Genomic DNA, 13,282 nt, shown 5'->3' with positions numbered 1-13,282 from the left:
AGCCAGGCATGGTGGTGCATGCCTGTAATCCCAGCTACTTGGGAGGCTGAGGCAGGAGAATCACTTGAACCCAGGAGGCAAAGGCTGCAGTGAGCCAAGATCACGCCACTGCACTCCAGCCTGGGTGACAGAGAAAGACTCCATCTCAAAAAAATAAAAAATTAAGTAAAATAAAATAAAGAGATGATTGGGGTGTATTCATGGTATAGCTCAGGAGAGGGAAAGCTCAGGGGAAGGACTAAAGTAGGTAATTGGGAGCCACCAAATGGTAGAATGAGAATTGTAGTGGCCTCCCTGGGGTTGCCTGCCCAGCCCCCATTTCTTTTCCTGGCTTCTGCCCACCCTCCTGGACTACAAGGCCATAACAGCAGGGCTTCATGCAGCTATGATTGACCTTGCCCCCAGTCACAGACAGCTGGACCAGGAATAGACACCTGAGCCAAGTGAGGCCAATGATCACCTCCCAGAAGTGTTTGGAATGAGCACTGAAAGAGTCTAGTCTCAGCTTGGCTGGTGTACTGAATGGAGGAAACATAATCTCAGGAGCTATTGGCAGTCATACTTGCTTATTGTGGAGTAGAAAAGAAGTGTAAGCCAGTCTGCAGAGAGAAACTAAAATGAGGCAGATGCAAGAGAGGAGCAGATAGAGTGTTGATAAGACTCAAGTCTTAGATTCCAGTTTGTCCCAGAGGCTGAGCTGTGTTTCTGTCCTTGGATGCTCTCGCAACCTTTAAATGAATCCTCTTTTTTGGCTTAAGCTAGCCATCATGGGTTTCTGTTACTTGCAGCCAAAAGAGCCCTAACTAGGCCGAGCACAGTGGCTCATGCCTGTAATCCCAGCATTTTGGGAGGCCGAGGTGGGCAGATTACTTGAGGTCAGGAGTTCAAGACCAGCCTGGCCAATATGATGAAACCCCGTCTCTACTAAAAACATAAAGCATAAAACATAAACAAAACATAAAAAATGCCTCAGCCTCCCTAGTGGCTGAGATTACAGGCGTGTGCAACCACGCCTGGCTAATTTTTGTATTTTTAGTAAACCAACTTTACGATTTGCTTCCTGTCACAGAAGTAACTCTCTATTTTCAATGGTTAGAGGGCTGTGCTGTCCGATATGGTAACCACTAGCCACAGGTGGCTACTTAAATTTAATTAATTAAAATAAATATTTAAAAATTCAGTTTCTTAGGGTTTTTTCTTTTTCTTTTCTTTTTTCTCTTTTTTGTTTGTTTTTTGAGACAGGGTCTCACTCTGTCACCCAGGCTGGAGTGCAGTGGCGAGATCTTGGCTAACTGCAACCTCCGCCTCCCAGATTCAAGGAATTCTCCTGCCTCAGCCTCCTGAGTAGCTGGGACTATAGGTGCATGCCACCATGCCCAGCTAATTTTTGGTAATTTTTCACCATGTTGGTCAGGGTTGTCTCAAACTCCTGACCTCAAGTGATCCATCCGCCTCTGCCTTCCAAAGCGCTGGGATTACAAGCGTGAGCAAGGTGAAAATCAAAAGAAAACTGGAAGTGAGTACTGCAGAAACACTAGGGGACAACTGTGAAGTACCTGAACCAGTAATTGCAATCTATGTCCCTACCTCCCACTCTATGCAATAACTTGAGGAAAAAAAGGATATTAAGTTGGCTCTCTGAGAATTACCTGTAAAACAAACAAAACGAAAGAAACAAAAATGGGAAGGAAAGAAAGAGGAAAGGAAGCAGACAGAGGCAAAGTCACTTTAAAGAGAGAAAATGATTCTCTGTTCAGAGTAAAATTTGACTGGATGCATTAACAAATCAAAATAAATGTATCCTTCAAAAGGCATAATTCGTCAGCAGGGTTACAAAATTATCTCAGTTGTGGAGATTAAAGAATCAGCCTCAATGTATTCAGAAAGTAAATCAGGTGTTTACCTTCCCTTATTCTGAATTTTTTTTTTTTTTTTTGAGATGGAGTTTCGCTCTTGTTGCCCAGGCTGGAGCGCAAGGGCACAGTCTCGGCTCCCCGCAACCTCCACCTCCTGGGTTCAAGCAATTCTCCTGCCTCAGCCTCCCGAGTAGCTGGGATTACAGGGATGCACCACCACGCCTGGCTAATTTTGTATTTTTTTAGTAGAGATGGTTTTTCTCCATGTTGGTCAGGCTGGTCTCAAATTCCTGATGTCAGGTGATCCACCCACCTCAGCCTCCCAAAGTACTGGCATTACAGGTGTGAGCCACTGCACCCAGCTGATTTTTTACCCATGAAATAAGCTTGTGATTATAATGGGGCACTCAAACCATTTGCACCTGGAGTTCTGTGCCAGTGTAAATGCTCCAGTTCCTTTTCTAACTGTAAACCCATGTATGGCATGTTGGTTGTGTGCTTCCAATGCTGTACGTTTAGTTAAGATGAGTCTGCTCATCACAGACCAGATCAATCTTGTTTGTTGACAAAATCGGGTATCTGAACCTTCAAGGCAAAGAGCCAGGTTCTAATTAACCCAGATAACCTTGGTCTGGCCAGGTCTCTGGCAGACAGCAAGATGACCTCCCTACCAACTCCCTGACCTGTTCCAGGAACATATCTTCAAAATATTATTTTCTAAGTAGGATCAGGAGAAACTGTGGAGATCCTTAATGGATTCTGCCATGGCCTAATAAGAACAGAGAACCAGAGGGGTTAGATACGGAAGACTATGAGACAGATGGGTTAATCTAAAGGATGATAGCAGGAAAATGAGAGGGCCAGCAGCATTCTTACCTAGGAAGTACTACTGGGCACTTCAGAATTGAATATCCCCATAAGAAAGTTGTTTGATGAGACCCAGAACTGACTTACTGAAATGAAGAGTAGCACAACCAGTGTTTTTAAATAGGAAACTTTTCATCTTGACTTCTCCTTTTTTTTTTTTTTTTTTTTTTTTTTTTGAGACAGAGTCTTGCTCTATCGTTCAGGCTGGAGTGCAGTGGCGCGATCTTGGCTTACTGCAACCTCCAACTCTCAGATTCAAGAGATTCTCCCACCTCAGCCTCCCAAGTAGCTGGGACTACAGGCACATGCCATCACGCCCGGCTAATTTTTTGTATATTTAGTAGAGACGGGGTTTCACCATGTTAGCCAGGATGGCCTCAATCTCCTGACCTAGTGATCTGCCCACCTCAGCCTCCCAAAGTGCTAGGATTACAGGTGTAAGCCACCGTGCCCAGCCTCATGTTGACTTCTTACTACCCAAAAAGTACCCATCAAAGCACCAGAGCAATTTTTCTGAAAGTGGGATTTGCCAAGTGCCTGCACCAGAATCATCTAAGGAGCCTGTTAAAAATATGGGTTCTTGGGCCCTAGAACTACCAAATTAGAATATTAGGGATCAGAATGCAGGAATCTTCCTCCTTTAACCCTTTTTTTTTTTTTGAGACAGTTTCACTCCATCACACAGGCTGTAATGCAATGGCTCGATCTTGGCTCACTGCAACCTCCACCTCCTAGGTACTAGCAATTCTTCTGCCTCAGCCTCCCAAGTAGTTGGAATTGTAGACGCGCACCACCATGGCTGGCTAATTTTTGTATTTTTAGTAGAGACGGGGTTTCGCCATGTTGGCCAAGCTGGTCTTGAACTCCTGACTTCAGGGTGACCCGCCCACCTCCGCCTCCCAAAGTGCTGGGATTACAGGCCTGAGCCACTGTGCCCGGCTTTCTTCCTTTAATCTCTATTAAGCAAGCTCCCAAGTGCTTCTCTGTCCTCTCAAGTTTAAGATGCTCTATACCAAGTGAAGGGAAGTATACAGAAAAAGTAGAGGGAACAGTTCCCCTACCCAAAGGGTGACCAAGGGACAATGGTGGCAGCAGGGTCACTCAGATTGGCCACTCAGGCAGGCAGGACAAAAGTGTAATGCAGACTTTCCTAAGAGAAGGAACAGGCCCGACTGTCCAAGATAGGCCCGCTGCTCCACCACCTTGAAAGTAGTTTTTTAAATGCTCTTTAGCAAAATTGGCATAATTAAGTAAAAGGAGCACTCTGGAATTCTCTCTCTGTTTCTCTCTCTCTCTCTCTCTCTCTCTGGGCAACATGGCAAGACCCCGTCTCTACTAAAAATACAAAAAAATAGCCTAGCATAGTGCTGCACACCTGTGGTCCCAGCTACTCAGAGGCTGAGGTGGGAGGATTGCCTGAGCCTGGGAGACAGAGGTTGCAATGGTCCAAGATGGCACCACTGCACTCCAGCCTGGGTGACAGAGCAAGACCCTATCTCAAAAAAAAAAAAAAAAAGAAAAGAAAAGAAGAAAAAGAAAAAAATGTCAGGCCGGGCGCCGTGGCTCACGCCTGTAATCCCAGCACTTTGGGAGGCCGAGGCGAGCAGATCACGAGGTCAGGAGATCGAAACATGGTGAAACCCGGTCTCTACTAAAAATACAAAAAATTAGCCGGGCATGGTGGCGGATGCCTGTAGTCCCAGCTACTGGGGAGGCTGAGGCAGGAGAATCGGTGAATCCGGGAGGTGGAGGTTGCAGTGAGCCGAGATCATGCCACTGCACTCCAGCCTGGGTGACACAGTGAGACTCCGTCTCAAAAAAAAAAAAAAATTTCAAATCCTTTGACTCAACAATTATTCCAAGAAATGTATCCTAACAAAGAGAGTGGAAAAAATGCTAAAAGATGTATAACAAATATGTGCATCAACGGCATTTACCATAACAAAAAATTAGAAACTTTCTAATTGAATTATTTCAATCATGATGCATGCAACTCCTCCATCCTCTTCTAACAGAAACCATCTCACTCACTTACTCTGGCCTTAGGGTATTCTCTGAGCAAAGGATGGTTGCTGAATGAGTCAGGAGCAGGGACCAGAACCATAGTCTAACCAAAAACCTAGACTTAGCCTGACCCAAAAAGCCCAGCCCAGAGGGTTAATACTGATTAATTAGGCCAATTAGACTTTCTCTTTTTATAATTTAACAGGAAAAGACGGAGTTAGTTAGCCAAGTGGAATTTATGCATTTTCCCTTATAAATGAGTTATATATTAAGTTATATATTAAAACCTCAGGCAGTAAAATGATTATTTGCAAATATGCCTAATGTATTAAAGTTATTTTCCAGAAAAAAATGTTAACAACACTGTTGTTTTATTCATTAATGTTTCAACCACTTCCCAGTTAAATTAGTTACGGTAGGTGGTCAACATATTCTTTCAATTGACAGCAGGGGAAATAAGTGTTGATACTATTCTCACGAAGTTAACTATCCTGGATTTAAAGCTTACTAGAATTGGCCTCTGTGGGAAATAAATATTGGCTCTGTTGCCAAAATCAGAGACTGGATTTCTAATGAATAGGTTTCTTTTGCACAGGTAATATAGATTTTAAAGAAACCACATGGTCTCATTAAAGGTTAATGTAAATGTGAAATTACTACCCTGAAGTTCCATCAACCACTTTGTCAATTTTTAGATAAACCAGTTTCTCAAATAAAGCTCTATATAATACCTTTATTTAATGATTATTATTTTTTATTTATTTATTTTTGAGGAATTTCACTCTTGTTGCCCAGGCTGGATGCAATGGCGCCATCTCGGCTCACCGCAACCTCCGCCTCCTGGGTTCAAGCGATTCTCTTGCCTCAGCCTCCCGAGTAGCTGGGATTACAGGCATGCGCCACTACGCCCAACTAATTTTGTGTTTTTAGTAGAGATGGGGTTTCTCCATGTTGATCAGGCTGGTCTTGAACTCCAGACCTCAGATGATCTGCCCGCCTCAGCCTCCCAAAGTGCTGGGATTACAGGTGTGAGCCACCACGCCCGGTCTATAATATTTTTTAAATGTGCTTTAGTCAGCTTCTCCTGAATGGACAAAGGCCAGGCCTTCAGTATTCAATATTTAAATATTTTACACATTCTAAAATACATATTAATAAAATAAATACTGCATTTTACGAAAGTGGAGAACAACATGCTAATAAATGTTGCAAAATTATTTAGTTGTAAACAATCATCCACACTGATGCAGACTTCTGAGGCCATTCACTAAATACATACGTATTGCAGAGATCATGGTGGGCCATAATAAATAGGAAGTAAGAGTCCAGTCTCCTGCAGGCCTCTGTGACCTCACCAGCAGCATCACACCTGCTTAGATATTCAGCTGAGATCTCTACCTAAACTGGAAGATCTTCTTATGTTGCCTCTCCAGGTTTGGCTTCTTGCTTCAGAAAATGATACCAATCATAATCTCTGCTCCATCTATTGTTCAAATATCAAAATGTCAGAAGTAGGCTTCAGCTGTTAATCAGCTGTATTGAATTTCTGTTCTTCAGGATATAAGTTCTCTGCACTTTAATTCTTATCAAAGCACAATTGTGAGGAATGCTATTCATCAAAGACTGCGTGGAGGACTGCAAGGCCATTTACTCTTTAGACATGTTATTTTTCCCTCCTTGGATTTTTCCCTTGGATCAAATCAGACTATCAGAAATGTTCAAACTTAAAACATGAAGAGTTCCCTTTCTGAAGAGGATTTTTTGGCATTATGTTCTCTATCTGTATATGGGATTTTCTAAGAAGGAGCCACCTATCTTTTGTTGGTTGAGGATGACTCGGTGTTTTCTTTATGAGAAGCCATGAGAGAAGTTTCTGTTGGGCCTTAACTGCTTTGCTTCTGTCTTGCAAAAACTAAGAGGAATCTTTTTTTTTTTTTTTTTTTTGCTCTTGTTACCCAGGCTGGAGTGCACTGGCACAATCTTGGCTCACTGCAACCTCCGCGTCCCGGGTTCAAGTGATTCTCCTGCCTCAGCCTCCCAAATAGCTGGGATTACAGGCACACACCACCATGCCCGGCTAATTTTTGTATTTTTAGTAGAGACAGGGTTTCACCATGTTAGTCAGGCTGGTCTCAAACTCCTGACCTCAGGTGATCCTCTCACCTTGGCCTTCCAAAGTGCTGGGATTACAGGCGTGACCCACCGCACCCAGCCCTAAGAGGATTCTTATTAATCACATTTTTTCCCCAGCTCCTTAGAAGCTCAGGATCACACTTGTAGGCTACCGCTAGCTGCGATTGTGTGTTGACTATACCCTTAGTTTGATTTTATTTCCCATCTTAAATTTCTCATTGCTCTCATTTCAGCTATGAGACAGGGAAGAAAGAGGGGAAGGAGAGAGGGAGGGAAAGAGAGAAGTCCAGGATAAGAGAAAGATAAACTGAAAGTTCTGGTTAATATGTCATTTGTTGATTCCTTTTGCGTACAAATAGAAGTGCCATGTCCACCTTATAAACACTAAGATGACTTTCATCTTAGTACAAAGTATTTGTACCAAGAGGATCTCAGAACTAAAAGAGAGAGAGAGAAAAAAAAAAAAACCAAAAAACTTTGTCATTATTTTCATCCATCCTGTCCATATAATTTAATCAGATAATTTTGGTTAATGAGTAGATATCCATTCCATTAGCTTTAAGTCACATGGAGGTGGTGGATTATAAGGAAAACCGTAACTGCAACCAGAAAGTCCTCAGGCTCCCAGGTAGCCAAGTACACCTTCTTTTCTTCATAACTTTGACTTACAAGTGGTATCGTTAGAGGCGTGTGAACCAGTTACAGGCAACTACATGTAAAATAGAAGCTGGGTAAAATAAGGCTGAAACCTACTGGGCTGCATTCCCAGACGGTTAAGGCATTCTAAGTCACAGGATGAGATACGAGGTCAGCAGGAAATACAGGTCATAAAGACCTTGCTGATAAAACAGGTTGCAGTAAAGGAGCCAGCCAAAAACCCTCCAAAACCTAAATGGCCACGAGAGCAATGTCTGGTCATCCTCACTGCTACACTCCACCAGTGCCATGACAGTTTACAAATGCCATGGCAATGACAGGAAGTTACCCTATATGGTCTAAAAAGGGGAGGCACGAATAATCCACTCCTTGTTTAGCATATCATCGAGAAATAACCATAAAAATGGGCAACCAACAGCCTTCGGGGGCTGCTCTGTGTATAGAGTAGCCATTCTTTTATTCCTTTACTTTCTTGGTTTTTTTTTTTTTTTTTTTTTTTTTGAGATGGAGTTTCGCTCTTGTTGCTCAGGCTGGAGTGCAATGGTGCCATCTCGGCTCACCGCAACCTCCGACTCCCGGGTTCAAGCGATTCTCCTGCCTCAACCCCCTCTCCCCCCGCCCTCACACCCCGCCCCCCCGCCCTAGTAGCTGGGATTACAGGCACGGCCACCACCCCCAGTTAATTTTGTGTTTTTAGTAGAGACGGGGTTTCTCCATATTGGTCAGGCTGGTCTCGAACTCCCAACCTCAGATGATCCGCCCGCCTCGGTCTTCTAAAGTGCTGGGACTACAGGTGTGAGCCACTGCACCCAGTTTATTTCTTTACTTTCTTAATAAACTTGCGGCTCACATCTGTAATCCCAGCACTTTGGGAGACCGAGGCGGCAGATCACGAGGTCAAGAGATTGAGACCATCCTGGCCAACATGGGGAAACCCTATTTCTACTAAAAATACAAAAATTAGCCGGGTGTGGTGGCATGCCTGTAGTCGTAGCTCTTCAGGGGGCTGAGGCAGGAGAATAGATTGAACCCAGGAGGCAGAGGTTGCAGTGAGCTGAGATGGCGCCATTGCACTCCAGCCTGGCAACAGTGTGAGACTCCGTCTCAATGAAATGAAATAAAAAATAAATAAACTTGCTTTCGCTTTGGACTGCGGACTTGCCCTGATTTCTTTGTTGCGTGAGATCCAAGAACCCTCTCTTGGGGTCTGGATCAGGACCCCTGTCCTGTAACATATTTCTGGCGACCACAGAAGGGACTACAGTGCAGAAACCCCCGACCCAGCGGCTACTTTTGGGTAAGTGTTGGGGTCTGGTAACATCTTTCTCATGAACCACAAAAGGGACAATACTGAGGAGACCCCCTGACCCAAAGGAAATAGACTGCAGCACTGATTGGACGACTTTGGGTAAGTGATGGGGTACCCAGATAAAGAATGGGATCGGGTTAGAGGCCAAAACTTAGGAGAGTTAGAGTCTCTTCTAAAACAAAGTGCATTAGAGGTCCCTCTTAATAAAAGGCAAGGATGCAGCCAGGCATGTTGGCTCACGCCTGTAATCCCAGCACTTTGGGAGGCTGAGGCAGGCAGATCACAAGGTCAGGAGTTCGAGACCAGTCTGGCCAAGATAGTGAAACCTCATCTCCACTAAAAATAAAAAAAGTTAGCCGGGTGTGGTGGTGTGCACCTGTAATCCCAGCTACTCAGGAGGCTGAGGCAGGAGAATAGCGTAAACCCAGGAGGCAGAGGTTGCAGTGAGCCGAGATAGTGCTATTGCACTCCAGCCTGGGTGACAGAGCAAGACTCTGTCTGAAGAAAAAGGACAAGAACGCTTCTCCGACCTTAGGGTTAGAGGCCCAACTTAGAAGAGTTAGAGTCCCTTCTAAGATTTAGGGTATTGGAGGCCCCTCTCAGTAAAGGCCCTCTCGGCTAAGAACAGGTTCGGCACTATGGGATGCTATTCTCTTTGGATTAATCTGCTTTGCACTGTTTGCTGATGGCTGTGGGTGACAGTGTTAGGCATGTACAGGATCATGGAACATGGGGAGCTTTTTCCTCCCCAGAAGGGGAAACTTGAGAGCTGATGGCACTGCTGGAAAAGATCCCTTTGCTACTGACAAGCGGCCGCCTGAACTTTTCATTGTCGGCTGCAATGAGTGGGTCTTTTCTCTGGCTCCCTAAGCTCTTCACCTTCCCCACCCTGCCGCAGATAATACTTTCCTTCTCTAATTTTCCTTTCTCTTTTCTGTTACTCAGGGCAACCATCTTGCCCAGAGACCACGTGTTGAAACTCCAAATCAGAGGTTGGATCAAAGGTGACGGGCCTGGCTGGGCATGGTGGCTCACACTTGTAATCCCAGAACTTTGGGAGCCTGAGGCTTGGGATCACGAGGTCAGGAGTTCGAGACCAGCCTGGCCAACATAGTAAAACCCCATCTCTACTAAAAATACAAAAATTATCTGGGTGTGGTGGCGGGCGCCTATAATCCCAGCTACTTGGGAGTCTGAGGCAGGAGAATAGCTTGAACCCGGGAGGCAGAAGTTGCAGTAAGCCGAGAACGTGCCACTGCACTACAGCCTGGGCAACAGAGTGAGACTCTGTCACAAAACACAAAAAACAAACAAAAAATGACGAGGTTCATCTGGGGGCAAATTTAAGCCTTGTCAGTTTGATATTGGTTGCTAAGCAGAGTGGCTAATGTCTATGTTTTATCACACATATTTTGCTCTGGCCAAAATGAAAAAAAATGTAATTTCCCTTTATGATGCGGCTTGGCCCCCAGGGCGATGGTGCCACAAGCCTGATCAGTAGTGCTGCTCAGGGAAAGGGAACCCAGAAGCCTGGTGTGCTGGCAAAAGGGTAAGAATTTTCCTACCAGTCAGATTTCTGGCTTATCTCTCTGTACAGATGGTTTGATGAATGGTTAAAACAAAACAAAACAAACAAACAAACAAACAAAAACCAGTGCTTATTTCCTCTGTAAAGTTTTGATTAATGTGAAAAGAATTCTAAGGCTAATCTTAAGCTGGTGTATTTTGTGCTATGAATTTGTTTTTCTGTGTTGAAGGGTACTTTAGGATAAAACACGGACTTGGAACACCTGTAAGCCCACTTTTCAAGACCACCCAGCAAGCTGGTCAGTAACAAGCTTGGCTGCAGCTCCCTGAAACAAAAAAACTGGATGAAGTCTCCACGTTTTTTTATGTTCTTGGGAGCCTGACCTTTTAACCATGTGGCAGTACTTTATTTTGGTCTCTGCCATCAGGGAACAGGAATTTTAGGATTTATATCATATTCATCTCTAAAAATCATATTAAATTGTTAAAAAGCCTTTGGAAGCTCAAAATTAACTACTCTAGGCTCGTTCCAGGAAAAGAAGTGGGGACTGCCCATGCTGTAGCTCAGAAGCTGAGATTTTACACTTTCACAGTGGTGGTCCAGGTTTGATTCCCCACCTAGGAAGTAAGTCGTTTCTGGTTTAATATCTGCGTAAACTTGTCTATTCTCTTCTCCTCCACAGACTGTCTTACATTTTCCTTTCTCTATGTACCTGGGAGATTACCTTTGGTAAGTTTAAAAAGCCAGAAATATCTGCCATTTGGCATAAGAAATTCTAAAGGAACTTTAATAAAGAGTGCTATGGTTAAAATCAGTATAATTAAAAGTGGATATTCAAGCTCTAACAGCCTGGACTCCTTGGGAAAAACAGGAGGCACAGGAGACCCCTTTCCTGGCCATGTTCTTCCAAGGGCTCCACCATAAAGCCATTAATGCAATTAAGAAACTTAAAAACCAGGCCGGGCATAGTGGCTCACACTTGTAATCCTAGCAGTCTGGGAGGCTGAAGCAGGTGGATCATGAGGTCAGGAGATCGAGACCATCCTGACTAACACAGTGAAACCCCGAATCTACTAAAAAATACAAAAAATTGGCTGGGCGCGGTGGCTCACGCCTGTAATTCCAACACTTTGAGAGGCCGAGGTGGGCAGATCACCTGAGGTCAGGAATCCCAGACCAGCTTGGCCAACATGGTGAAACCCCGTCTGTACTTAAAACACAAAAAATTATCTGGATGTGGTGGTATGCACCTGTAATCCCAGCTACTTGGGAGGATGAGGCAGGAGAATCAACTGAACCCGGGAGGGGGATGTTGCAGTGAGCCGAGACAGTGCCACTGCATTCCAGCCTCGGGAACAAGAGCAAGACTTCATCTCAAAAAAAAAAAAAAAAAATTAGCCAGACATGGTAGTGGGCGCCTGTAGTCCCAGCTACTCAGGAGGCTGAGGCAGGAGAATGGTGTGAACGTAGGCAGTGAGCCTAGATTGTGCCACTGCACTCCAGCCCAGGTGACAGAGCAACACTCTGTCTCAAAAAAAAAAAAAGAAACTTAAAAACTGGCAAATGAAAAATCTTACACCTACTGTAGTAATCTTCTTCTGTCTTTCTGTGTACCTGTATATGTGTTGTGTATAATGTTTATACAAAAAAGCTCTAATTAATTGGCTTAAACAAAAATAATCACTTAAATCAAATATTTTGAAAGCATGGCCAGGTGCGGTGTCTCATGCCTATAATCCCAGCACTTTGGGAGGCTGAAGTGGGTGGATCACCTGAGATCAGGAGTTCAAGACCAGCCTGGCCAACATGGTGAAACCCCATCTCTACCAAAAATACAAACATTAGCCAGGCATGGTGGTGCCTGCTTGTAGTCCCAGCTACCCGGGAGGCTGAGGGAGGAGAATCACTTGAACTTGGGAGGCAGAGGTTGCAGTGACCCCAGATTGCACACTGCACTCTAGCCTGGGTGACAGAGTGAGACTCTGGCTCAAAAAATATATATATATATTTTGAAAGCAAAACACAAACTGTAATGCCTTTTAGTTCATGTGACTTCAGTAATCTTTGGGAAATAAAAACAGCTTTAAAAATTATTGATAAAACATTTAGTCTAAATTATACAGGTCAAATATTAAGTTTGCTAAATGCTTTAAGGTCATAAACTGCTTCTTTAACTTTTAAAAATTGTTCAATGGATATCTTAAAGCCATTAGATTCTAGATAAGGCCTGCAGACATGTGGAATTAGCCATGCCCCCTAGCTATACAAAGAAGATTATAAAGAAAGAGATTTTATGTAAGAAAAGATCTTGTGTGATAAATTCTTGTTCTAAAGTAAATTGATGGGTTGTTTAAAAGGAGGGAAGTTTAGGGCAAGTCACAAAGTCCAAGAATGTCTCAGATGGTCTGTGTAAGTCGTGAAAGGGAATTTATGCAAGAAATGTACAATTCAAAGGTTGTTAGGTCTCCTAAATGCTTCATAAAATGCCACTATGACTCTTACTGTACAACTTGCCTGCTTAAGTAAGGTAAGGCCTGGGGCTGTGTGGAGTTAGCCTTGCCCCCTAGCTATGCTGGAGAGTCAGCCCTTATCTGCACTTCTGTGTGGTATGTCCTAGGCTAAGCTTCACACCTAGTACACAATTAAAATGGCTTACTAACCAGGGTTTTCACCAAAAGTAGAAGTGGCTAAAAGTTAACATTGTGACATGTAATTGAGACTATTGAATAAACAATTTTACATGTAAGATGTCTAAGGAAAGTAGAATGTACTTTTGGTAAAAGATTATAACAAGGCATGGGAATATGGTTTTATTGCCTAAAGGGTTAAAGAATTGTTTTAACTTAGAGTAAAGCTAAAGGTTTAAACAAGTTATGGAAGGTTTATAAAAATTAATTTTAAGAAATTCTGTATGTGAACATGTTGACT

General features: G+C 43.6%; 1 annotated feature.

The window, feature by feature from the left end:
* Positions 12,849–13,049: a silencer, noted in NCBI's record as "peak4916 fragment used in MPRA reporter construct". NCBI's record gives its function as "represses an SCP1 promoter by STARR-seq MPRAs in K562 erythroleukemia cells {active_cell/tissue: K562}" and the evidence as "EXISTENCE:reporter gene assay evidence [ECO:0000049][PMID:32103011]".

This window comes from Homo sapiens, chromosome 3 (genome assembly GCF_000001405.40).
Source record: "Homo sapiens chromosome 3, GRCh38.p14 Primary Assembly".
NCBI classification, from domain to species: Eukaryota; Metazoa; Chordata; class Mammalia; order Primates; family Hominidae; genus Homo; species Homo sapiens.
The sequence above is the reverse complement of the archived record's forward strand: the minus strand, read 5'-3'. Positions and strand labels throughout refer to the sequence as shown.